Source organism: Homo sapiens, chromosome 5 (assembly GCF_000001405.40).
Source record: "Homo sapiens chromosome 5, GRCh38.p14 Primary Assembly".
In the NCBI taxonomy this organism is placed as follows: domain Eukaryota; kingdom Metazoa; phylum Chordata; class Mammalia; order Primates; family Hominidae; genus Homo; species Homo sapiens.
Genome location: NC_000005.10, coordinates 149,032,256 through 149,060,029, shown reverse-complemented (window position 1 = coordinate 149,060,029; position 27,774 = coordinate 149,032,256). Strand labels below are relative to the sequence as shown.

Genomic DNA, 27,774 nt, shown 5'->3' with positions numbered 1-27,774 from the left:
ATAGTAAATGATGCTTCACTTTTGAATTTTAAATGACTTGTAAAGCATTTAAAACTACTGATAATAGAGGATATTAGAATAGTTAGCCCACCATCTAGCTGTAACAAATTTTTGCATTATGCCATGTTATCTTCAGAACTTTACCTTTTTCTTTCTCTTACTTTTTGAAGAAATAAAACATCATAAACATACTTAGGGGCCCCTGGATATCTCTTTCCAATCTCATTCTCCTTCTCTCTCCATGTAGTTAATAACTTTCATGAATTCAATGGTTATGTGCTTTCACTACATATTCATGAACTCACAATCATTCCAAAGAATTGTTTTGCAGACTTTAAAACTTAAACAAAATGATATCATGATGCAACTTTTTTTTTTTTTTTGCTAAACATTATCATCTAAGATATATTCATGTGGGTAGATGTAGCTGTACTTCTAACATGCTATTCGTCCCAACAAGGAGAAAGTGGGTTTACATCATAAAAACTGCTGATGGTAGGTCTGTTAGGTCAAAAAAGAAAAGAAAATGTGGGTACAGGAAAAAAAAAACATGCAGATAAATGTTTACTGTTTAGTCTTCTTTTTAAAGTTGAGCATGGTGGTGGGTGGGTAGGAGCAAAGAGAGGCTGAGAGAGGAGAAATGAAGGTGAATTCTCATTTTCGGCAAGTTGTTGTGAGATGTTTCCCTGATCAGAGGCCCGAGACTTTAGAGTTCTGAGGTCAGGTTAATGTAGAGAAAATGGCAAGGTCCCTACCCATTCCTACCCATTGATTTGGATGGCCTCTGGCGCTTTTGTTAATTTGCTGTGTGATCTCAGTAAAATCATGACTCCTCTCTGGGCCTTTAGTTTCTCAACAGTAAAATTGGGAGTGGAGCTAGGTGATCTTTTAAATCCCTTCCTTCATTCATTTTCTGCAATTCTTGCCTCTTCCCCATGTTTATCCCTCATATTCAATATGTCAAGATGCCTTCTCTTTTCTTGTTTAAAAATATAGCCTCATTCACTCTATGCCCTCACTTCTCATTGCCAGGGCCACAGCCCACATTCTTACACTCACCTCCCTGGATTTTCACAGCACCTCTTCAGCTGGTCTCTCTGCCTATTGTGCTTTTCTCTCCTTATCCTTCCCAGGTTACCCAAGTAGAATTTTCACTTTTGTTATGCCATTGCCATGCTCAAGAATATTTCACACCTCACCATCGCTTACTGTATCCATTCTAAACACCCCTGCCTGCCTTAAAGTGCTCTGCCATCTTGAACCTACCATACTTATCCATTTTAGTCCCACAACTACCCACCTCCCCAGCATGCGCAGGCTGGCTTCTAGCATCCCATGTATGTACAAAGCTCATTCCCACCCCATCCTGCTTTCCTCCCACTTACATACATCTGCTAAGAACACAAAAAGCAAGCCATCAACTGGGGAGTAATATCCAGAACAAGTATATTAAAAAAAAAAAAGCTCTTTCAACTCAATAATGATAAGATAAATAACCCAATAACAATTGCAAAATGTTGGAATGGACACTTCCATATAAAAAGTATGTAGATGACTAATAAGCATGTGAAAAAGTGATTAACATCGTAAGTCATTAGGGAAATGCACATTGAAACAATCAGATAAAATGGCCTACCTACTTAGAATGGCCCAAATTAAAAAGACTGATAACATCAAGTGTTAGTGAGGATGTGGAGCAACTAGAACTCTCACACATTGCTGGTGGGAATACAAAATGTTACAGCCTCTTTGGAAAACAGTTTGGCAGTTTACAAATAAATCTCAGTGTTTTTCTGAATTGAGGGTTAGTAACTTTTTCTGATCAATAATAATAAAAATAAAACTAGCTTATATCAAAAGCAATTTATTGATTAATAACTGAAAATCTAGGTTTTTTTCTTCAGATATTGCTAAATCAAGGTGTTCAGATGATGTTATCAGAAAGCTATCTTTCCTAAGCTCTGTTTTTATGGGTTGGACTCAATGTCAGGTGGGCTTTCTCCTTGTGGTGGGTGCCACAGCTCCAGGCTGTCATATTCATAGCTTCTAGTCCAGTGAAAAGAAATCACTAAGTGTGCTGATGAGGGTCCTAGAACTAATTCTCATTGGCTTAACTTTGATCATGTGGCCATGGCACTGCATAACCCAGTTGGATTATGCCTGAATTATGTGCTCACTTTTGGAGCTAGGGAGAGAGTCAGCTCCATATAGACTACATAGACTGGGTTCACATGGGTCACATGGCTAATGAAGAAGCCAGGGTTTGAGTCCAGGACTGTCTGATTGCCACTTGTTCTTAGCCACTTCTCTACCTGCCTTCAGTGTTAGAAAACAAATGCATACCGATCACAGAATATTTGAAAAATAGAGAGCTTGCTTTGGCAGCATGTATGCTAAAATCGGAAGGATACAGAGAAGATTAGCATGGCCCCTGTGCAAGGATGACATGCAAATTTGTGAAGTGTTCCATATTTTTGAATAGATAATGAATGGATGCTGGGCTAAATACCTAGGTGATGGGATGATCTGTGCAGCAAATCACCAGGGCACACGTTTACCTATATAATAAACCTGCATATCCTGCACAGGTACCCCTGAACTTAAAATAAAAGTTGAAGAAAAACTAAAAGAAGGATGGAGGAGGGACTTTATCATTCAAAAATATCAATGTCATCAGAGAAAAAAAAAGTCATAAAAAAAGCGTATGGAAATGTTCCCAATGAAAGCAGGCTAAAGACATTTGACAACTAAATGTAGTACTGACCCTAGACTGCATTCTATACTGAAGAAGAAAAGAAGATAAAAAGGATATTACTGATATTACTGGGGCAATTGACAAAGCTGGAATTTAAATAGTAGATTAAAGTATTAATATTAAAACAATTGTTAATCAGCAGCCTGTATTATTAGCAGATTGTGTTGTCTTTAACATACAAAACTTTTATTTTTCAAAAAATTAATATTTCAGTTAAATAATATTTAAATGTGCCTATAAAAAAAGAAAAATTAGAATTTTGGAAAGTAGATGAAAGTATCAAAAAGATTGTTAAAATGACTCAGCAATAACTACCATAGACCTTTTGGTTTATTTTCTTTCAGTTATAAAAATCATACATTTTTTTCGAAGGTAATTTATTCTATATGACAGTTTTTTGTTGCCTTGAATCATCTCTGGTTCTTTTCCAAGGCCCAGCTCAAGTTTTCAAACTTCTTCATGTTGAAATATAACACCATGTGTAAAAGAATGCTGTAAACGGTCAATCCATGTGTAACTATTAGCTGTTTTTCCTATTATAGAATGCATTCTAATTTTCCAGCTTCCTTATTGTTTCTCAGAGAGGTGCCCTTCTGGCTCATGGGATCCGAGGCCTCTGGTGAATTGGCTTGAGCATTCTCACACTCTAGAAGACATCAGAAATACCCAAAGTGCTAATTAAAAACACACACCTCAGAACTCTACTCCTAGATATTTCAAGGTAGAGTAAGTAGAGAGGGGCTCCAGGAATATTATAAAATTCAGCTTTTCATAAAAATGTACCATTAACACATATACACCATAGAATACTATACAGCCATAAAAAAGAATGAGAGCATGTCTTTCATGAGACATGGATGGAGCTGGAGGCCATTATTCTTAGCAAACTAATGCAGGAACAGAAAACAAAATGCCACATGTTCTCACTTATAAGTGGGAGCTAAATGATAAGAACTTATAAACACAAAGAGGAAAACAACAGACACTGGGATCTACTTGAGGGTGGAGGTTGGGAGGAGGGAGAGAAGCAGAAAAGATCACTATTGGGTACTGAGCTTCATACCTGGCTGATGAAATAATCTGTATAACAAACCTCCATGATATAAGTTTACCTAAGAACCAAACCTTCACATGTACCCCGAAACCTAAAATAAAAGTTAAAAAAAAAAGAATGTTGAGGTCAGTAAAGGCTTTAAGAGGATTAAAAAAAATTTACCATTTATATAGAATTGTGCATGAAATCATGTGTACAGTGTGGTGACTTTTCACAAGTGAATATACTCATCGATATTGTTTTATACAGTGGCAATTCATTCATTCTCATTGTTGTATTGGATTTATTTATTTATTTAATTTTTGGGGGATGGGTCTTGCTATGTTGTCCAGGCTGGGCTTGAACTCCTGGGCTGAAACGATCCTCTAGACTCGGCCTCCCAAATAGCTGAGATTGCAGGCATGTGCCACCATGCCCGGTTTGCTGTGTTAAGATTTAATTATATATTATATATACATCATTTACTTGTCCATTCTAGTGTAAATTGACATTTGAATTGTAGCCAAGTTTGGGTTCTTATAAATAGTGCTGTTCTGAATATTTTAGTGGATGTCTTTTGGTCTTAGTGCATGCATATTTTCAGCTTGAATTGACACTGTCAGCTTTCCAAGGATAGAACTTCAGTTTATCTTCACACTTGCAGTATATTCTAGTTGCAGTATATTCTAGGTATTCTACTTGCTCTATATCCTCACAAACACTTGGCTTTATCTGTCTTTTTTTTTTCATTTTAGCCAGTCTGTGTAGTTGTGTTCCATTGTGGTTTTAATTTTCATTTCCCTGATGAGGTGAAACAATTTTCATATATTTATTAGCTGTTTGAATATTGTCATTGGTGAAAAGTTTATTCAAGCCTTTTGCCCATTTTTCTGGTGGGCTGGCTACCTATTTCTCAAAGATTTTTGGCATTCCTTATATATTCTATGTTTGAATTATTTGATAACTATACATACGTATGATCAATATTTTCTTGTACTCTGTCACTTGCTTTTCAGTCTCTTAATTGCATCTTTTGATTAATAGAAGTTTCTAATTTTAATGTATTACTATTTATCCATTATTCCTTTTGAGGGTAGCACTTTTTCCATCCTGTTTAGGAAATCACTGTCAACATCAAGTCATGCAGATATTCTTCTATATTTTCTATAAGTTTTTTTTTGCATAGATATCTTTTTAAAAACAATTATCTAAAAAATTCTGATACAGACAGTTCACATATCACATTTTGCAAAACCTTGCAATTTTCTGCCCTAAGCCTCACAAATCCTTAAAAAGCTGTGCACCCTTTCCCCAAGCCAGGGTCCCCATCCTTGACTTCCCTTCTTCAAGGTGGGCTCACCTCACAAGCCCTCATTGTCAGGCTATTGTATTTTCTTGGAGAATTCTACAGCAGGGATACACTCACAAACTTGCCAGGGTCAGGTGTAAATGAGTGATGGAATAGGGTGGGCACCATGGTGGCTGGAGAACAAATGCCCTGCAGAGCGACAGCAACCACTTGGCCCCAGCTGACTGTTGCCATATGACAATGAGGCTCCTGGGCTACAGATCTTCCATGTTTCAAAACAAACTCAAGCATCTGGGTTATGTGAAACATTTCAATTTCTAAATGATGTCAAGCAGTTCAAACTAAAAATTCACTGTGTGGGCCAGAAAAAAATAAAGAAGATGTTTGTGGGTTTGCTGTAGTCTACGGTCAAACTTTGTCCCAGGGAAGCAGGCTGCTACTCCAAGTGTGGTCCTGGGAGCAGCAGGAGGAGCATCACCTGTGAAAACATCAGAAATGCAGAACCTCAGCTTTCAAATACTGAAGCAGAATCAGCATTTTATCAATATCCATAGGTGATTCATAGGTAAAATAAAGTTTCAAAAGCACCAATCTAGACATATGGTTCTCAACACTGGCTCAAATTAGAATCATTTGAAGAACTTATTATTAAAAAAAATCTATGGCTGTACTATGGACCACAAAAATCTGAATCTCTAAGGATGAAGCAATATTTTTTCTTTTTATTCCTTTATTATTTTTAATTTTTGTGGGTACATATTAGGTGTATATATTTATGGAATACATGAGATATTTTGATATAGGTGTATACAATGGGTAATAATCACATCAGGGTAAATCACATCGCCTCAAACATTTATCTTTTCTTTTTGTTGCAAGCAATCCAATTATACTCTTTTAGTTATTTTTAAATGTACAATAAATTATTGTTGACTACAGTCACCCCATTGTATTATCAAACATTAGATCTTATTTATTCTATCTAGCTGCATTTTTGTACCCATTAACATCCCTACTTCTCCCTAGCGCACACACCCTTCTCTGCCTCTAGTAACCATCATTCTACTCTTTATCTTCATGAGTCCAATTGTTTTAATTTTTTTTTTAGCTGGGATGAAGCAATATTTTTAAAAGGCAACCTAGATGATTCAAATAGGCAGCTGGGGTTCAAAGGCACTAATTTAGATCAGTCCTTCATTTATAAGTGGGGAAAGTGAAAACTCACAAAGTGGACAGGTGAAGTGTCTTGCCCAAGGTCATTGAACTCATGTATGGGAAGATTTGATTTGTGCTCATTCTCATTTCTCATTATTCCCAAGCCAGTGCCTTTTTGCTGCAGTTGCTTTTGGTTCCTCGGGGCAGAACTGAAAAATGATCCTGTTCAACTATATAGCTCATTGCTGCCAGGTTTCCAGCTAAGCTGCTTAGCTTTCAGCACTGAACAGCTAACAAGATTTACTGGATGAAGAGCTGACAGGCCCCTGCTTCTGCCTATTCCAGCTGAAATCCACTTCATTCTTCATGTACATCACCCAAAACAGTGCTAACTGCTCCCACTGCGAATAAATGGAAGGTCCTCAACTTGGGTGTCAAAATCCCCCTCCATAGGCACAGAGTGGAGACACAGGCTATTAGCAGCAATATGAGAATTTAGGTTCAACATTAACCAGAAGTGAGTGTGACTGCTCCACCCCTGTTGCATTCTTGAGCTGTATCATTAGAGGCACAGATCCAGTATGCAAAACTTGGTAGGCCTCTTTGGCTCTGATGCACAATTTTATAAGCACATTAAAGGAGTGACTCACAAATAGTGGTTGAGCCAAGGTTCCCTAACTCTGCTTTTCAGGACCAGGTAATACTTATCACATTCTGACTCCATGGTACAGTTCTTGAACAGTTTTATGGAAAAAAGGACAGAATCCATCAACTAAAATTAATGTGTGAAGGACTTGAGTTTCCTTGTTGTGTTTTGGGGATGCCATAAAGGAGACCCATGTTCTACAGCAATGTTTTTGACATTTCCTTCTGTAACTACTTCATTATGCTTTATAGGTGCACCATCTTCTTTCTTTTCAACTTTCTGCTATCAAAGTTTCCTCCTCCCCAGCCCTAGCCTGTGTCTTGATCTTCTTTCTTCTTCTTTTTACTCCACTTCTACCGTTGTGAAGACAGTAACTTTTCAGAGTTGGGAAGAAAGACAGGCCTGACAGGACCCTATTTAAGGGGCAGACAGGACAGCTGGGGACAATTATACATTTCAGGGCCATTATAACCACACCCCAATTGTCTCCCTAATGATGCCAATGTCTGTCTCCACTCCAGCCCTTCCATTATCTGCCCCTATTGAACCTTAAGCCTTGCTGTAGTCAGATCTGTGATGACCTGTGTAGGCTCAATGTATATTGAGCACCTTCAGTGTTCTAAGCCATGAGACGTAGTTCGATATGTGAATGGGGATCTGCTTTTTAATAAGATGGGCATACCCAGGCTGCTGCTGGATTGAGATGGCATGTATGACAGTTCTTTGATAACAGCTTAGATAATTACAAGGCAATGGTGATAACAATTAGAATTCTTCCATGCCACTAATCCTGGAAAAAATTTGTCACTTGACCAAAACTACAGCCTTGCTTATAACTTGCTTTCAACTTCCTTACACTCTTAAGATGACCTTTTATTTCATCTTCTCCAGGTAAAGAAACTCCTTCCAAGGATCCAACTGTATCGAGTGAGTGTATAGCCTCATCTGAATACAAGGAAAAATGTTTTCTGCCACAGAACATTAATCCAGGTATCCAAATGCCAAAGACAAGCCCTATTCTTCCATGTTGAGTATTGCGATAACCTCTTTATCTTTCCCATCTAAAGAGCCCCTCCCTCTTTCCCTCTTGATGAAAAGATTTTGACTATGCTATTTGCTTGCTCACAAATCTTCTGTTGCACTCCACTGCCTACAAAATTAATTTTAACTTTCTCAAGCTGTCACTCAAAGCTCTTCACAATCTGGCACTTATTAGGAGCTCCATACTTATTTGCTTTGTTGAAGAAAGTATATCATAAATTAGATTTGAAGGTGTTGAGAGATGGGGTAATTAAAAATATTTATATTCAACATGGTACCTCAAAGAGTTGTTCATACGTTGTTGCTGCTCAGAAAATCTTTGATGAATAAATACATGGGCTGCACGTGATGGCTCTCACCTGTAATCCCAGCACTTTGGGAAGCTGAGATGGGAGGATCACTTGAGCCCAGGAGTTGGGGCCCAGCCTGGGCAACAGAGTGAGACCTGATCCCTAAACAAAAAATCAAAAAATTAGTCAGACACAGTGGCATATGCTTGCAGTCCCAGCTACTTGAGAGGTTGAGATGGGAGGACTGCCTGAGCCTGGGACGTCGAGGCTGCAGTAAGCTGTAATTGCACCATTGCACTCCAGCCTGGGTAACAGAGTGAGACCCTGCCTCAAAATAAATAAATAAATGAATACATGAATGGTTGAATGAATATGTGGAGGTCACTTTTACATACTATATGATACCCAACATAGTACTTTATATGTAGTAGGTTCTGCGTAAATATTTGTTAAATAAGTGAATAACTAAATGAATATGTGAAGTGAGATTGGCTTGAGCAGAAGGGCATCTGTACGAATCTTTCAGAAGCAGAAAAAGTTTTGAAATTAATGTGAAACAAATCTTATTCTTAATACACATCTCTCACAAAATCCTTTTTAAAAGACATCGATGAAGCCCGCAAAGAGAAAATTGTTATCAGAGGAAAGGTGCACCTGGGCAGAACTCTGTAACAGAAACTCTGAGGACAAACCTGTAGAAGACTTGATTTCTGTTGTACGGTAGATGGGACCATTTTAGAGGGCAATTTGTGTGCCAAATGATCCTCACATGTTTTTCTCATTTTTGCTTGCCCATCGCTAGGTGGAAGCACCCAAATCTCCATTTAGCTGATGAGAAACAGAATGTCAGCGAGGGAAACGACTTCACCACGACACAGTTAACACGTGATGAGGAAGGGCCTTGTTCAAAACTACAATGCTCCTTCACCCTCCAAAAATATAGCTCTCCCTGTAATACAAAATATAGACTTGTGAAAAAGATTATAAATATTTAAAGGATCTAGACTACGTAAATAGATATTGTATACATGTCATACCAGGTTCTTTCTTTTCCCAATTTCAGATGAGATCGGGCATGTTCAGGGTGGTATAGCCATAAGCCCAATTTCAAATTCTGTCAAACTTCTTGGTTGACAATGAGAAAAACTTTGCCCTTTGTTTCTTGATATTGTGTCAATCTGCTTATCTGTCTGTCAGCTTGGACCACCCCTGAAAAAACCTGAATTACCATCTGTTGTTTCATGAATGCAGTAGAGTCAGCATTTTGCCTTATCAATGCATGAAGGCCAGTGAACAAAGGGTATCTGTAGGTGAAACTGAACTGACCTCGGGCTGAACTTGTCCATCTTTCAGCATTTTCCACCCTGATGCTGTTTCCAGGAAGGTCATGGAGTGAGAAGGGGAGATGGCTGTAGCTGCCAACCTCTCCTTAATGAGTACAGTTGCAGACAGAATCAGTCAGACATATTATCACAATTACAGAACTGACTTTGAGAAGGATTAATCTGTGACACAATACACTTCATGAAAATGATATTGAGCTTGACTTCTTCCCTGCTCTAGTGATGCAGAGGGTACTGTAGGATCCCACTGTGGGCACAGGGGTTCTGCTCTAAGTATCAGTTCTCACGGTTGAGATCTCAAGAGCAGTCTGCTTATTTAAGTCCAGGTCTTTTGAGTTCCATATACATAGATTCATGTGCATGGTAAGGAGATTCACACCAAATGCCCTGTTTGTCAGTCAGCAGGGGCTACGAATGGGGGATTTTGGATCAGATGTTGGAAGGATGGATGAGATGGGTTTGGTAGAAAGGAATCATAGAATCAGTTATTGCCAAGGTTAATAGTCATGATCACCTGAGGGCAGCCAGCCATGAGCAGTACTTGCTGGTAGTGGGGAGGTGAGGAGGGGAACAGCTAATGCTTAATGTGTTTACTGAATCTTTGATACATACCAGGCACTGAGTAAAAAGTTTTATATCCACGATGTTATTTAGGAAGCTTTTTTTTTTTTCCTTGAGACAGGGTCTTGCTCCGTTGCCCAGGCTGGAGTGCAGTGGTGTGATGTTGACTCACTGTGACCTCAGCCTCCTGTGCTCAAGCCATCCTCCTATCTCAGCCTCTGAGTAACTGGGCTACAGGCATGCACCACCATGCCCAGGCCACCATGTCTGGCTAATTTTTTTTTCTTTTTTGTCAGAAGACAGGGTTTTGGCATGTTGCCCAGGCTGGTCTTGAACTCCTGAGCTTAAGTGCTCCTCCTCCCTTGACCTCCCAAACCGCTAGGATTACAGGCATGAGCCACTGCGCCCAGTCTAGTAAACATCTTAAAACCCCTGTGGGATAGGTACTATAAAAGTCATTTTGCTAAAGGGAAAAGCCATGCATAGAGAGGTGATTAATTGTTTAGGGTGGCACATTTATTGAGGGGCAGAGCCAAGTCTTGAGCTGGAGACTGCGTGACCCCTCCCTGGGCTTCATCTTTGCACTGTGCCTCCTCCTAGAGCTCAGCATGCCATGAGGCTACCAGATGGAGGCCTGGATGGATGCGGGGTGCTGAAGTGAAAGGGGTTGCATGAGATTGGAGCATAAGCCTAGGAGGAACTGCATGGAACAAACACCCACGTGAAGTTTACATCAAAGTCAGGTTATATGGGAATGTCATAGAAGAGCTCATTTGCAGCCACAGCATTTTCAGGTTAAAGACAGGCCTTTTAAAGGTAGAAGTCCACAGCTGTCTTGTGGACTCAGGCCAGCATGATAGGGGTCATCTCTAATGTGCTGAGGAATTTGCAGAGGTCCTGGCAAGTTGAGGCTGCAAGTGAGACCTCTGTGATGATCCATTCCAACGCCTTCTCAGTTTATTGTGTTGAATAATTATTAACAGGATTGCTACTTACTGTCTAAAGAAGACACATTGCAAAGTGCAATTATACGATGAACCTCCTCAGTATGGCCTTTCTCGACAACACTATCCAAAGGTATCCCCTGCCTTCAAGCACTCCATCTCTCTGTCTCTTGACCCCATTAATTTTTTTTCATAGCGCTCTTCTCCATCTGAAACTATTATGTTTGTGGAATTTCTTGCCTAGTTACTCACTTACCAAGAAGAATACAAGCTCCATCAGAACAGGGACTGCCTGTTTTGTTCTTTGCTGAGGAGCCCATAAAACAGCTTCTGGCTTATAGAAAGCTCTTGATAAGTATCTGTTACATGAATGTACATTTTGGAGAAATTAAAGGTAGACTTTAATACATTAACTAATTACCCTGATAAACATTAATAATTGCAGTATCAGAAAAGACAGGTTAGAGAAAATGTGTTTATGTGTAATGTGTTCATGTTTATGTGTATGTGTTAATGTGTAATGCACAAAGTATATGTCTATTACATATGATAACTTTGACACATAAGTACATTTCCTTAAATATGGATAAAGTCCTATTGATTCTAAACTTTCACAAGTCATTCACAGGGAGTGATGTATGTCCTAGCTGGTCCTGTGTCAGCACCATTACATCAGTGCCAGGCAGTGTAGGAATAAACCCCGTACAAAGCAGAAATAAACAACGTGAGTGCATCAACTCCTGCGATTCCAGAGCCCTCCTGGGTTCAGTATGTGTTTTTCCTCAAGGGAGGACCATTTAAAGGAGTGCTCCGAGAAGTGTTAAGACCACTCTAATCTGTAACTAATGAGGACACCAGTTGAGGGTTCAGGTATACATGTAGGGGAAACTGTGGGCTAATCTAACTCTTTCTTCCTTTTTATTCTATTTTCAGCCTGATCCTTCTCTCTCTGTTCTCTTTAAGACCTGACACTCTCCTTCTGTGTAAAGAGCCGCTCCAGGAGGTGTGTAAATGGACCCCTACAGGAAGCTGCTCGGAGGCGGCTCTGGGCACTGGAGAATGAGGACCAGGAGGTGCGCATGCTGTTTAAGGTGAGCATGAAGGAAACAGGTGAATGCTGAGTACTGACTTGTGTCAGTCTGCTACAGGATCCCTAGCATCTAAGACAGCATCTGGAACAAAGTAGGTCCTCGGAAAAAACATCTAATAGGTAGACTGAATGAATGAAAGATTCCGTGCACATTCTCTGCACAGGAGTGGAGAGGAGTGGGCAGGAACTCTGAATGAGGCAACTTGGAGTTGCTGAGTCAGAGAAAATTTGGTTTCAAATATTCTATTAGTTGTGATCTTTGACAAGTTACTTAACCTATATAGAATGGGAGTTGTTATAATACCTACCTCATTAAGTATACTTTTTTTCTAATGCGGTAATTTCAAATTCTTTTTTTTTACTGTGATACAATATACATAACATAAAATTTTCCATTTTAATCATTTTTTAAGTGTATGATTCTCTATGACACTAAGTACATTCACAACCTATCCACCTCCAGAACTTTTTCATCATCTCAAACTGAAATTCCATATCTATTAAACAATAACTCCCATTATCCCCATGTCTCAGCTCCTGGTAACCGCTAAGTATATATTTTTAAAGTACCAAGATTGCCAATCAAAAAACAATACCTTATAAATACTTGGGTGAGAGGAGGAAAAAAACAATAAAGTAAATAAACCAATTTCTCATCTTTCATAGTAGGTAGATAATATCTTCATTTGTTAAAACCAAGGAAGAATGGTATGATCAAATTATTTACAGTTTAGGATGTATTAAGTAGGAGAACTAAAGTCAGAAATGGAAAAAAGTTGTTTCAACTAGAGGTAGGGAAAGGATAATATTACTTTACATAAACTAATATGTTCTAGTTACTTTTTACAGTTTCTGCATGAATCTGGTACAAACTGAAGGAGAAAAGTGTTCTAAATGTCATGCAGCAAAAAAAGATAATGTCTGGTTTTTCAGGGGGAAAACGAGATTGTATGAGTAGAGAGCTTGGCATTGTGTTTGGTGATATGTGTTCCATAAACAGTAGCTACATTTTTTTGAATTTTATTTTATTTTTTTTAATATCTGGAATTCAGGAACTGGGAGACACTGGCTGCTATTGGTACTGTAGATTTTCCTTTATTTTGAGTCTCATTTGGTATGGCAGGAGCAGGGTTGATTGAGAGAGCTGGTCTGCTGGGCTGAAGCTTGAGTCAGACATACTTGTGGGCTACAGTTGAGGCCTGGAGTCAGCTAGATCTGAAATCTAATCAAGGCTCCGCAGCTTACTCCCTGAAGGTGACCTTGGACAATTTACTTAACCTCTCTGTGCCTTGGCCCCCTTGAATATGCAACAGGGATAATGCCATTTTTCATTAGATCTAAGATGCCATTGATTATAAAATGCACTGTTATTTTATGTACTTCCAAGAAAGAAAACAAATGCTGCCAATTATGGTTGATGACATACTTCCTTATCTTTTAGTTCAGAAGTGGTTAAATGTGATAAAAGCACATTTTGGAATGGCCCAAATACTGTCATTGCATTCTCTTCATAGCGCTTTTGTGGGAGTTAAATGACATATTGCTCATAAAGCTCTGGGTGAAGTGCCAGGGATGTAGTAAATTCTCTGTAAGTTGATTTTTACCTAGCACCCCTTCCCTAATGATGGATCTGGGGCCTCCTGGGGTTTGGTATGGCAGAAGGAACCCCAGAGTTCTGATTTTACTGAACTGGGGCTTTTCTTCTGGATTCTTCTATCTTCTTCTTCCTCTAAGTTTCCCTCATGATAGAGCTCCTGGAGTTGGTACTGATGACAGGACCTGGCCTGGTGGAGGGATGTTCTGACCGTCACTTGTTACAGTCAACTCCGGAGGCTTGGACAAACAACAGATTTAAGGGAAAACTAAGTCTGGGCAGTGATTCAGACCTGCTTTTTTTTTAGGTATTATAAAAAAACCAGGCCGGGTGCGGTGGCTCACGCCTGTAATCCCAGCACTTTGGGAGGCCAAGGTGGGTGGATCATGAGGTCAAGAGATCGAGACCATCCTGGCCAACATGGTGAAACCCCATCTCTACTAAAATACAAAAAATTAGCCAAGCGTGGTGGCAGGTGCCTGTAGTCCCAGCTACTCGAGAGGCTGAGGCAGGGGAATCGCTTGAACCTGGGAGGCGGAGGTTGCAGTGAGCCGAGATTGCGCCACTGCACTGCACTCCAGCCTGGCGACAGAGCGAGACTCCGTCTAAAAAAACAAAACAAAAGAAAACAAAAAAACCCCCAAGAGGCTTATAGTCTTCCTGTCACTCTCCTTGTGAGCATGTAAATTGGAAAGCCTTCCTGGGGGACAGTTGGGTGACTGCATTTTAGGATTGAAAATGTGCATATCCTTGCATTTCCAATTGCACCTCTTAGAAATACATGTGTTAAAACAATTAAGAATGTGCACAAAGATTTAGCTATAAAGATGTTTATCACAGTACCATTTAGGATTTTAAAAAATGTAAAACAATCCAAACATGAAACCATAAGAAAATGATAATAATTCATTATGTTAATGCAACAATGGCACATGTAACCATTAAGAATGGTGTAAACTTTGTGATGACATAGAAGATGCTTTGCAAAATATTGCTTAGCAGCAAAAGAAGATTGCAAAATAATTTATGCAATGTGATTCTATATATGTGAAATAGTTATATGGAAACTTGTGTAGGAAAAAAGATGCAAATTTATTACATGAAGATGTTAACACTGATGATCTTTAGGAGTAGGGACTAGGGATGATTATTTTTGTGTGTTTTGGTTTTTCTGTTTTCAGCTTTGTATTAATAAAAATAATCATTAGACATAGACTCATAATCAAATTTGCTTTCAAGATGCCTTCTATGAATCAGCGTCCTTTATCCTCCCACATACACTTTTTTTTTTAAACACAAAAAGTAGCATTCTTTGCCCATAGTTCTATTCCCTGGCTTCTTTTGCTGCTGCCGCTGTATAGCAGTATTATATCTGGAGCCTATATCAGTACACAAAGAGCTTCTTTCTTCTTTTCTGTGGCTGCATAATACAATATTTCACTTTATGGATAAATTGTACTCCATTTTAACCAATCTCTTATTGATGAATATTTAAGTTGTTTCCATTTTTTGGTGACGTAAAAATCAATGCCATAATCAAGAAGTTCATACAGAGTATTTGGTCTATATAAGAGCTTGCTAATGGGACACTTCTGTCATCCCAGGCTGACTCATTGTTTCCTTTACGTAGGACCTCTCAGCAAGGTTGGTCAGTATCCAGTCTCAGAGGGCCCAGTTTCTCATCACCTTCAAGACCATGGAGGAAATCTGGAAGTTCTCCACCTACCTTAATTTAGGTATGGTACAAGGCAAGCAGGTGGAGGATGACCTCCTCCACAATTTAGCCAATTTGTAGGGCTTGACATGAAGGAATTGGCCTGGCTCTGGTAATTAAGAGAAATAGAGCCTTAAAAAAGATGGTTAACTTTTGAAATTTCACAAAGTGCCTCAAACTAAATCTAAGGCAAATATTAACTATTATTCTAAAATGCCGTATGAAGAAGTTTGCTTTTTTGTGTCCAGGGAGATCTTTTTTTATTAGATAACCAATCAATTGGAAAACAGTTATTGGTCATCTACTAAGTTCAAAGTACTGAAATAGATGTGAACTTGGTGCTAGTGTGTGTGTTTTAAACTATAGGGAACTAATCTTGAGTAAGATCGAAGTAGCTGCTCAACATAGTCAATAGCAAAGTTCCAGATGTTTTATTGCATGTATTTGGAAAAGAGTTAAAGAAAGAAATAGAGAAATTATCTGCTTATAGCAACCTAAGGCTGCAGCGTTTTCTAGAAGGTAAAGAAGGACATTGGGATGCAGCGTCAGTTCCACTGTGGTGGGAAATGGTTCACCTGCCTTCTCCAGACAGAACAACTTATAATGGGGAAGTTAAAGTGAAGCCAAACAAAACAACAGGCCACCTAATTTGATGGATGTTTTATATCTCCCAGAAAATGCTGGGCTCCATGCCGACATACACAAGGACAGATTTTGTGCAGGGGTGGAGGGTCAAGATGACTCATGACTGGAAAACATAAGGTGTATCTTCTCCTCTTATGGTCTGGAGATCTGATCTCCACACTACACATCTCCTTCCTGACCATCAGACATCCTCACTATTCAAACTGTGCTCCATAGACCGGCTCGTTGGCAGCACATAGAGTCTGTTAAAAAAAAAAAAAAAAAGGAGAAGCTCAACCCTATCTCAGACCTTTACTAAGCATTTGTAGTTTAATAAGATCCCCATGTGATTTGTGTGCACATTAAAATTCAAAAGTGCAATTATAGAAGATACATAAGGCCTAGATCAGCACAATGGACAGTCAGGATAGAAACAGACAGGCTTTTGCATCTTAGGAAACAGAAGAAGCCTCAAGAGAAGCAATACGAGTAGTTCATGTTTATAGCCATGTTTAAAATACTATATATAATTATTAGAGTTTTACAATTTACATAGTTTTTAGTCTGCTTTTACCAGAGAGATCTTCTGGGCATTGGAGGAGGGGCAGGGTCAGAGCTGGTGGGTGGAAGGAAATCCTGACTCCTGAAATTCACTGAGGGGGAGCCATGTAGAACCTCCTCAGCCACTGCATCATCAGGGACACAGTAGTTTGAACCTCAGGTCAGGAGAACTTTAAGGGGGCACTAGGAACCCCCATAGTCAACACTGTAAACTTGGAGACCTCCGTGGCTGTATTAGAAAAAGGCAGTTGGTTTTGGTCATCTCATTATGCATTTATGGAAACTCACAATATGTTGAAATGGTAAATAACATTTAGAAATGACTTGTATTTCCCAATAGATGTTGAGAAGACTCAACTCATTCTAGAAAATGTCTGGCTTTGCCTCTTATGTTGTTTTAATTCCAGTTAAATGGCAGGTTGGGGCTTGTGGTCTGGGAATCAAGCTCAGGAGGGAATTTTCTCACTCTCTTCTGTGCTCAGCTATGTCAGAAATCATTTTGTTCAGAAATCTTGTTGGCTTGACTTCTTAGGCTACGTATCCATGTGTCTAGAACATCTCCTCTTTGACCACAAGTACTGGCTCAACTGCATATTGGTGGAGGATACAGAGATCCAAGTGTCTGTAGATGATAAACACCTGGAAACAATATACCTGGGACTCCTGATACAGGAAGGTGAGTGTGGCATAGGGGTAGAGATGGGATCTTATTCAGATATTTGCTACCAGAGGCCATGAAATAAGCAGGATGCAAAGGGAGGGAAAAATCATTCAAACATGGAATATTCACAAATGAACCCACCTGTTATAATAGTACTTTGAACATTCCTCTGAGTTCAACACTGACATTACACGAACAGCTGTGCTGGTCAGTCTCACTGATTGATGTTAGAACTGCTTGGAGAGTTTTACTAAGATACCCAAGCCAGGGCTCCACTTAGGCCCATTAAATCTCTGAAGGTGAAGGCCCAAGTATTGGCATATTTTGGAAAGTTTTCCACATAAGTCTAATGTCTACCCAAAATCGAGAAACCCTTTTCCAAACGTGATAAAATTTGATTGTAAAATAAAGTTGCAAATGTTGCAAAACTTGAAGTTTTTTATGAAAGTGAGGAAAGTGATGTTGAGGAACCTCTTGGAGCACCTCTTGATCTGTTTATAGGTGAGAGTCCCATCAAGGTTATCATCTACCAATTAACAACTATGAGGTGGATAAGCCTGATGACATCACAGACACGTGGAAAGAGCCAGATTTGCATATGATATTTTTGCAAAAAGGACTCTTATGATTGCATTGCAGAAATATTGCATGAAGGAAAGAATTTAATATCATGCTATTATAAAACTTATTGGAGTAATTATATTCACCCAAACTAATTTAATCAATTCTTTTTTGGTTCTAATTTTAATCATGAGGTTGCAACAATAAATGAAATTCTATTAAATATAAATATATTTTCACAAGTTTTCATCTCTTTTTCAAGATAAAGTCCCAATTAAGCCTTTTTCTCATAGATTATTAGAAATGTTGGTGTCTGTTTTAACTGAATTCCCTCTCAATGGCTTTTTTCTTCCTGGTATCAGTGTTCCTGGGATCATAAGGCCTCTTTTAGTGTCTCCCCTGTGAAACGTCTACTTTACTTCCAGGAAGAAAAGTACTCCAGCTCTGAATAGAAGCATTACTTTGTGTGATAATCCGTTTTCACTTCCTGCTACTCCTTAGAAAGCCATTGCTTTTCTCATTATCCACAGGCCACTTCTTCTGCAGAGCCCTGTGCTCCGTGACTCCACCAGCCGAGAAGGAAGGGGAATGCTTGACACTTTGCAAGAATGAGTTAATCTCAGTGAAGATGGCAGAAGCTGGCTCCGAGTTGGAAGGCGTGTCTTTGGTGACAGGTCAGCGGGGCCTGGTACTGGTGTCAGCCTTGGAGCCTCTGCCTCTCCCTTTCCACCAGTGAGTAGCCATCTGCCTCCTGGGAGCAAGTCCCAGAGCAGACTGAGGTTTGCACAGAACAGAGTAGGCATGCTTTCAGATATGGGCATCCATAGTGTGGAGGAGAGAACAGATTCTGGGTGGGTCTTTATCTTTCTGTCTTTTTCTTTTCTTTTTTAACAACCAAGAATTTTAACAATCTGATGAAATTGGAGACAACTCTAAATTTCAGATGGGCATTGTACCTAGCAGCAAATATACCACACGACCGCCAATGTAGTGTTTCTCCATGTATGGACTGGGGACCACTTGTCTGGGCCTCCTTAGACTTTCTTGGGGTTGAGTCTAGGAATCTTCATTTTAAATAAACTTCCTAGGAGATGCTTTTCACACTAAAGTTTAAGAAATCCTGCTGGAAGATATGATTAAACTTAAATATACAGATTGACAGTAAACATTACCCCACACCATGGACCTGTGTGGCTCTGGCAGAGATCTGACAGTTCAAGTGTAAAGGGATTGTTTGTTAGTTATTTAACTGACAAACTACTTTCGGAGCCACAAAATATCCCAGGTCTACTAACTTCTCACCTTTTCACAGGTCCTGGTAGAAAGTAAGTTCTCAATAAACTTTTGCCATCATTTAAATAAGAGAAAAAACAATACTCATCATCATCATCATTATTCTGATAGACTGTTCTGTTCATTGTTGCAATTTTTTGAAATCTGTGTTTGCAAACCCCATGTTTTCATTGGCAGGTGGTTCCTAAAGAATTATCCAGGAAGCTGTGGCCTTTCCAGGAAGAGGGATTGGACAGGCTCCTATCAGATTGGTATGGCTGAGTCAAAAACATAGTATTGTTAGGGAGATAATGTTGTCCTGCCTCTCAATTTTATCTGCAGGTTTGGAGTCAGTTGATGTGAATTTTTGTCTCGTCTCTGCTAGGAACTGGATTTAGGGAAGCCAGTTTCTGTCTGTGCACATGGTTTTCCCTGCCTGTGAAATGAGAGGTCTCAATCCAGGGGGCAGCTACAAATGCCTGCAGGTGTGGGCAGGACACACAGATGCTAGGGGGCCTGGATGGAAGGTATTAGGGAATGGCAGGAATAATTAGGGATTTTAAGATATATGAGTGAAAAAACAGGGCCAAATTAAATGTTTCGTGAGCCAAATGCGGCCTGTGGGCTGCCTGTTTCAATCTCTGGTCAAAACATTTTCTAATTTCCCTTAGAGTTTTGTAAAATTAACTTTGAATTTAGGAAGAGTAGAAATGCCTGGCACATAAGGGTACTCAGTAAAAATTTGTTGAATAAATGAATTATATACACACACACACACAATTTAAGTAATCTGTATGTGTGTATACACACATATCTGTAAGTACTGTAGATCCATATCTACTGGATAATGAAGTCCAACACTTTTTAGACATCTAGAAATACCTTCTGTTCATCTTCATCTTTAGAACTCCCCTTCACCTCCCTCCCACACACTCCTACCACAAAGTACAATTTTATAAGTGCTGAGCCCAAATAACACAAAAAAAGAAATAGGATTATGGAACCCAGACATCAGATCTAATAAATTACTGATGACAAACAAGATTTTTAGCTTCCTAAAGCAGTACAGCCTTGTAGTTAGAACGCAAGGCTTTGAAGTCTATTCTGGTTCAAATTCTGGCTCCTTGACTTAAAACCAGTGTGATCTTGGCCAATCCACCTGCCCTATGTTGCAACTTCCTCATTAGTAAAATGATACAATAAAACCAACTTAAATGTTGTTATGAGAACCAAACAAAATGACATCCATAAATCACTTTGCACAGTTTCTCTTACAATGTAGATATTTAACACATGGTAGATCCCATCGACCCACAAAATAGTGAGAATTTCTGATCTTGAAAACACAATCTAGAAACTTGACCAAAAATGTCAGAAAAAATAGGCTAGTAGCTTTAGCAGAGAAGCTAAAGCAAATATGGAAACTGAGGCACATAAAAGCCTTTATCTCCACCAGGATTAATGGAGAGGCTAACCAGCAGCCTGAAGACTTAAGCTCTAGACTCAGTTTTGCCATGCATAAGATCCTTAGACAAATCTCATACCCTCTCTCTCCCTCCGTAACCTGGGAAAAGGGGATTCTGATAGTTTCCGTGCCCTTTGAAGCTCTTGAGAAGACCTGAGAAAGTGAGTGCAAATTGTACTTTGTAAACTGGACAGAAAAACATTCATCAAAAGGTCATTGCTAGATCCTAGGTAGGCAATTTATCAGATTGAGTACCATAGTCTGAAAGGGAGTCTTTTAGATCCTTCTAAGTCATTAGCAGCTTTCTATTCCACCAGTGGTAATAAGGCTAATGTTTATTGAGGGTTGACCAGGTACCAGGCATTGTGCACTGTATCTCTTTGATTCTCTTTAATATTTATAAGCAGCAGGTATTCCTATTATCCCCATTTTCCAGTTGGGGAGACTGAGGGTCATAGAGGCCAAAGGAGCTGGAAGGACATGGAGAGCTTCTCTGGTCGAGTGGTTCTCACACACTGGTCTGTGGATTTGTGCCAACCATGACAAAGCATTTACATTACAGTGGCAAAATCAGACAAACCAGGACAATACAGTGAGCTTTCCAGTTTCCCATAAGCTATGTTTATTCATTTTTAAGGCATATCCGCTATCTGAGAATCTTTTTTTGTGTTTGTTAAAACATTTTTTCTTTGGTGAAAGTGGATTGTAGTTCTTTTAAAAATATGTCCTAGTTTGGCAAAATGAAAAGCAAATTGTCCTGTGTCATTCCTGCCAATTTTTGGGTGGGGAGGGGAGTGAAATGTTACTGGTCCTTGACATTCTAAAGTCTGGGAACCCCTCATTTTCTATTGCATTGGAAGGTGATGGGAGGCTCAGCTGTTCATGTCTTCTGTAGCTGATCTGTGTGCTATTTTCCACAGGCAGAGGACGCTGTAAGGCCTTGACGGGTTATGAGCCAGGAGAAAAGGATGAACTGAATTTCTACCAGGGAGAAAGCATTGAGATCATCGGCTTTGTCATACCTGGGCTTCAGTGGTTCATTGGAAAGTCGACAAGTTCAGGACAAGTGGGCTTTGTCCCCACCAGGAACATAGATCCTGATTCTTATTCCCCAATGTGAGTATTGACAGTGAGCATGTCCTGGAGCTGGGCTCCCTTTCCCAGGGTTCCCTCCCCTCTTTGAGCAGATTTGCAGTTGAGCTTCGAGGGTGCCCTGGTGACATGGAGCCAGAAAAGCACATGCTGACACCAAGGTTGATACAGAGAGTGATAGAAAGGAGAGAATGCGTCAGTTCAGTTTATTTTAACAGGTGGTCACTGAGGACTTCCTCTGTGCAAGGAGGGAAGCAAAACTCCAAGACAAAGGGCATGCTGTTAGGCACTGAGGGTGTGGTTTTGGTACTTGGATCCTGCTACCCACACTGTCTAACCACAGGGCCCCTTCAGAGGAAGGGCACACACGGGGAGAAATAGATTAGCAGCATGCTGATCCCACATAGGGCTGGGAGGTGGGTCCCATGTAGATCTTCACTCATTCAGCTTTCAAGCTGAATGCCAATGTGTGACTTCAGCATTGGCTAGGAGGGCAGAGTGTTTCTCTTACTCTTTTCTGCCTTGAATCCAGAAAGGCTGGTTCTGAGGAGCAGACCCATCTGCCTGGCCAATCAGGAGAAGGTGATCAGCCTGCTCCACCCACCCTGTCATGGAAGGACAGAGATATCGGGTATTGCTCCATCTTTTTGGAGTGGGCTTCCTATGTGGGGATAGGAAACAGTAGAAAGCCTGGGCGCAGGAAGTACACGAGGAAAGGGAGAGTTGGCTCCTAACACTGACACAACATAGCGCCCTACACTGGGAAAATGTGGCCCCAGAAATGTCTAACGATCTGAACAGAGACTTAAATTCTTTCTCTTGTGGGAAATAGCCAATGAAGAGAGCAGACCAAGGGGCAGAAGCTCCCTGTAAGCCCTGCCCTTCGTGGGGAGAGGAGGAGACAGAAGGTTATTTTTTTTCTATGTAGAAATGTGGGAGTCCAAATAACTATAAACAAGGAAGACCACTCACTGAGCTCCTGGAGAGGTATGGAGAACTATCGGGACTTGTAAGGAAGAAAAGGATATCAAGAGAACTTCATGAAGAAGGGGACATGTGAATTAAGCTTTGCACAATGTAAAATATTTCAACAGATGTTGATGGGAAAAGAGGTCATAGGTAGGAAAGTGAGTCAGTGCTTGAAGAACGACTCATGTAGTTTGGAGGAAGTTACCAGAAGGTCACTGGTGCAGCAAAGGTGGGTCCATGCTCTGGAAACCTGGGAATGCCTGTGTGAGGGCCCTTTCCTTAACCTGGCAGAGAATGGGGAGCTACTGCATGTCTCTGAGCAAGGGTGACATATTATATGACTGGACCTTTTCTCTAGGAAATGAAACCTGGCTTTGGGGGAGGCATGCATCATCAGGGGGAATCTGGAGGCAGGAGACCAGCGAGAAGCCCACGGTGGCACTTAGAAAAGGGTGAGAATGGAGAGGAAGGCCACTGCTGAGGACCAATGGACAGGAAGTCAAAGATTCCAGGAGCTTTACAAATATGGACACCTGTGTTCTGCCTCCAGAGGCTGTTGTGTAACTGGTCTGGATGGAGGCTGGGCAATTATATTGATAAAAGCTCCCCAGGTGGGGCTGGTGGGCAACCAAGGTGAGAACATTGCTCTGAACCACCCCTTCATGTTACCACAGGGGGAACAGAGGACCCCAGGGATGAAGGAGCTGAACCCAAGGCCTTCCCTCTGGAACTTTAGAATCCTGACATTAAATCCAGTGAGCTCTCATTAAATGTCCTGGTGATTTTAAATCCTGACATGAAATCCAATACATTCTGGTGAGAAGTCCCAGTGAAAGGGAGAAAGAAAAAAGAGGATGGAAAATAGGAATGGGGGAAGAACCCTGGAGGATGCCTCCATTTACAGAGCAGAGGAAGAGAGAACGCAGAGAGGAAACAGAGGAGCCACAGAGAGGAAGAAACAAGCTGCGGGGGAGGCGGGGCTGACACCTGTGCTGTCATCAGAGAGGTACAGCAGGGCCAAGTGAGGAAAGAAAGGCCTTTGGGACTGGCCATTGGTAGGTCTTCTGGAAGCACAGTAGCTACATGGCTTACAGAGTTGTGGAGTCAGGGTCCCCAAAAGGCATTCATGACCATGTGAGTGCAGCTTGTGCCTCCACTGGCTTACCAGCTCCTTGTCTTTGGACATATTCATTTATCTCTCCATGCCTCAGTTTTCTCATCTGTAAAATGTGTAGAATGTTAGCACTTGCCTAATAGGATTGCCGTGACTTTAAATGAGCTAATAATACACACAAAGCCCTTAGAATGGTGCCTGGCACAGTGTGTGTGTGTGTATGATCCACAGGCACTTGTTCTTATTGTTGTTTGTGTCATTGCCGTTGTTGTGGGTGGTGATCTTGAGAGGCAGTTTTAATAGGATATTGGGGACAGATGTCATTTTCATAACTTATATTTGGACTTCTGCACCTCACGCTAATTTACCTCAAATGACAGTAAGTCAGCACTACTGAATTAATTCAGTCATCATATTTTCACTGGCTTAGTTGTAAGGGGTCCTCTCACACTGAAGAGCAGCGTCCTCTGTGCTGTGTGAGGTGGACTATGACATTCTCCTGTGCCTGGTCAGTTGTGGGACCCAATGCACCAGAGATTGCACAATTGGTACCGAAGGGGAAAATGAGTCAGAAAACAGGGAGGGGTGGCACAAGGAGAAGAGGGGAACTGGCTCCTTGCATATCCCCCAAAGCACTCTCCAGATATCAGAGCTCCTTGAATCACAGCAACAGAGGGATGGGTTTTGAGCTCAGAGGAATGACCCAACTCCACGCAAGCAAGCCGCTGAAGTCTCTGCACGCTGCCGTCCGACTGGCCACTGGGTGTCACTCTTGTCTATGTTTGCTGGGTGTCAGGGTCTGAGAAGAAATTCAGCCTTTGCTGAAGTCTCCATCTTCTCCGTGTAGGTTTTCTTTTTGTGCTTGTGTATTACTCCCTAAAGTATGTGTGTATACTTAAGTGCCTAAATTAAAAAAATAAGTCAGATTGATAAATTAATGTACTCAAAACCAGAAAAAAGAACATAGGAAAAAAGCTAGTATTTTATAGTATTACAGTTAGAAAACATTCTTTTGTTACATTCCTTCTTTTATTCTTCATATTGCCTGTGTCTTTATAATTCAATTTCTTGTGGAATCTATTTTTGACACTAATAATTTTGCCATTGGTCTCATAGCCATTTATTTGCATGATGTGTCTACGTGTAATATATTTTATTACATATTGACAGCAAGTTGTCCACTTCTTCTTCATAGAGTATCTATTTTAGTAGCTATTTTCAGTGAAGATCTGTGGGTTATAAATACTCTCAGTCCTGAGTCTTGGCCTGTCTTAAATATATATAACACTTAACATATACTCTTGAATTATAATTTAGCTAGGTATAGCATAACATCTTCAAAGTTTGCAGGAAAAAATAACTTTAACTATAAAATTGCAAATCCATGTTGCCAGGGCCTTGTCCATTTTGCTTGTCTTTTCAGAGAATCATTTTTTCTTTTGTTGACCATCTTTATTGATTTTTGTTTTTATAATGATACTTCATTAATGACAGCATTTGCTTTGATTATTTTTGTCTACTTTCTTTGTTTTTATTTCATTAATTTATGATCTTATCTTTCATATTCAATTCATTCATTCTATAAAGTTGAACTGTCAATAGTAATTAAACCAAGAAAGGAGGCGTAGGAGAAATAGAGAACTTAAAAAGACCTGTAAGCATAAAGAAATGGACATCATGTTAAAAATGATATTATATTTATTTATTTTGCTCAGGACTTGGTGTGTTTCTTCAATATGAAGATTCATGTCTTTCTTCAATTCTGGAAAATTTTCAGTCCTTCTTCCTTTGAATATTGCCTCTCTCTCGTTCTTTTTAGTCTCTCTTCTGGAATTCCTATTAGAGGTACGTTGGACTTACTCTATCCTCATTCTTGCTTAATCAGTTCTTTTATATTTTTTATCTTTTTGTCACACCAGGCTAAATTCTGATTGATTTTCTTGACATAATCTTCAGTTTCACTAATTCTCACCTCTGCTATGACTAAACTTGCTGTTTAACCCACCCATGTAGTTCTTAATTTCTGTGCCTTTATTTTCCATTTTCTACGATTTATATTTTGCTATTTTTCATATATGGCTGTTTCTTCTCACAGTGCTCCATCTTTTCATTGTAGCTTCTATTTTTTCTTATTATTTCACCTTTTTAATCATTCATATAAATTCTTCTTCAGATTATTGTCATTTCTAGTTTTTTGTAGTGTTAATATAGTTATTTGTGTATCTGCTGGCTCTCGTTGTGAATAGTTCATTTTATTGCATGGTTTGTATTTTTTGTTACATGAACTAATTTTCAACATTTTAAAAGATGGGTTTTATATGGATCCTGGACTGAAGAAAACCTTGCTGACTAGGTTTTGCATTTGCTTCTCCTGGAACCTTAGGGAGTAATGATCCAGGACTGATTTTTTACTATTAATTCTTGGATCGTGGTACCAACACCAGGTAGTGTAAATTCAGATCCCACACGTCCCAGTGGCATAAGCCTAGGTGTTTGATGTTTTCCAGGGACTCAAATAGATGAAAAGTGTGTTCTCGGCAGGTAGGAAGAAATTTTTCAATCTGCTCTTTGCTCTTTACAGAAGTTGAACTCTTTCAGACTCCAGGGAGTTTAATGGGCTCCCTGCTTCAGGCAGGTCTAAATCACATCTCCTGTCCTTGGGGTGGGCATTAGAAGGTCAACCCCAGTTCTGAAGGCCAGAGTCCCAGCTGAAACCACCAGGAGCTCTGGGCCATCTGCTTTCACCTGCCAATCTGGGTTTGGTTTTTGCTTTTGTTACTGGCTTCCAGTGATTTCCCTTTCTTTCTTTAAATAATGTACTAAAATATTCATCTTTGTTACAGATTTTTCTATAGATATGGGGGAGAGTGGCCCTTTTAGAGCCCTTTAACCTGCCATATTGCCAGAAGCTTTGCCATGTTCTTCTAACCCAGTTTTCATGTTTGGAAATATCTAATGCAATTTGTCAAGCTTCTTGGCCTTTCCCTAAATTCTAAATTCTCGTAAGTTGTCCTGGAACTCAGGACTTTAGCAGATGTTGTGAGGCAATGCACGCAGAGGTAGAAGACCTCAGTTTTAGTTTCAGCTTTACCACTTTCTAGCCATGCAATTCTTAGCATGTCACTGAACAGTTCTGAATCCTTTTCTTAATCTACAAACATGGATTAAAAAAACCTGCACCATAAAGTTGTTATAAACAGTAAATGAAATAGTAAATTTAGGAATACATTGTAAAATTTAAGAGATCTATAAAACTTTGGGATCAATTTATCCCAGTTGAATTTAGTTGTAGATTTCAATTACATGCTGTTTTGAGATTAGAAGCTTCCGTGGTGTTGGGGGGAATCTGGCGATCAGCCCAGGGAGATGGGGGCCCAGTCAGTGTGGTACTATTAATAGTGTTCTCATCATGGGCTTTCAAACTACATTTACCTGAGTTATGGGGACAAATGGTAATGGCTGATTACAGTACCCCCATCCCATCCCCTCCTTGAACACTGCTTTAATTAGAGAAGTTCTTATGTCCTGCTCTACCACTCCCTAACCACCAACTTCATTTTGCTGTGCCTCAGTTTATTCGTCTGTAAAAAGGATAAGAGTAGTACGTGCCTTGTATGGCAAATGTGTGGATTAAATAAAATAACAGTATCTGGTTCTTCATACCACTTCCTCCCAAAGTATTAGCTATTATTAACTCCTGGGCTTCCAAGTTAATTTTGTTTTCAAAATGGGTTCTGACATTAAAACATTCTCTATTTAGAACTAAAAGTGGCCTAAAAAATTGTTTAGATAGATGCAACCCAGTAGCTTCTAAGGCACTTCTAGTTTTTTATTATTTAATTCTATAACAAATCTCTAGTAAGCAAATTAGGCTTAACAGTTAGTTTACACAACAGCATGAGTATCAAGATCTTTATTGCTTATAATGATTTCTTTCAGCTCCCCTAATCTTCCTTTTACCCACTTCTTTCCCTTAGCGA

The 27,774-nt window shown here is 39.8% G+C and overlaps 1 protein-coding gene and 1 pseudogene across 1 annotated transcript in view; both read left to right on the top strand.

The window, feature by feature from the left end:
* SH3TC2 (SH3 domain and tetratricopeptide repeats 2) overlaps positions 1-27,774 on the top strand; it is an 80,913-nt gene that overhangs the window by 3,033 nt on the left and 50,106 nt on the right. The window contains exons 2-8 of the mRNA NM_024577.4: positions 7,790-7,888; positions 12,041-12,168; positions 15,392-15,497; positions 17,193-17,336; positions 18,413-18,614; positions 19,353-19,426; positions 21,540-21,735. Of these exons, the coding sequence (NP_078853.2) occupies positions 7,790-7,888; positions 12,041-12,168; positions 15,392-15,497; positions 17,193-17,336; positions 18,413-18,614; positions 19,353-19,426; positions 21,540-21,735 (949 nt within the window). The remainder of the gene's footprint in view (positions 1-7,789; positions 7,889-12,040; positions 12,169-15,391; positions 15,498-17,192; positions 17,337-18,412; positions 18,615-19,352; positions 19,427-21,539; positions 21,736-27,774) is intronic.
* Positions 2,372-2,475, top strand: RNU6-732P (RNA, U6 small nuclear 732, pseudogene; annotated as a pseudogene).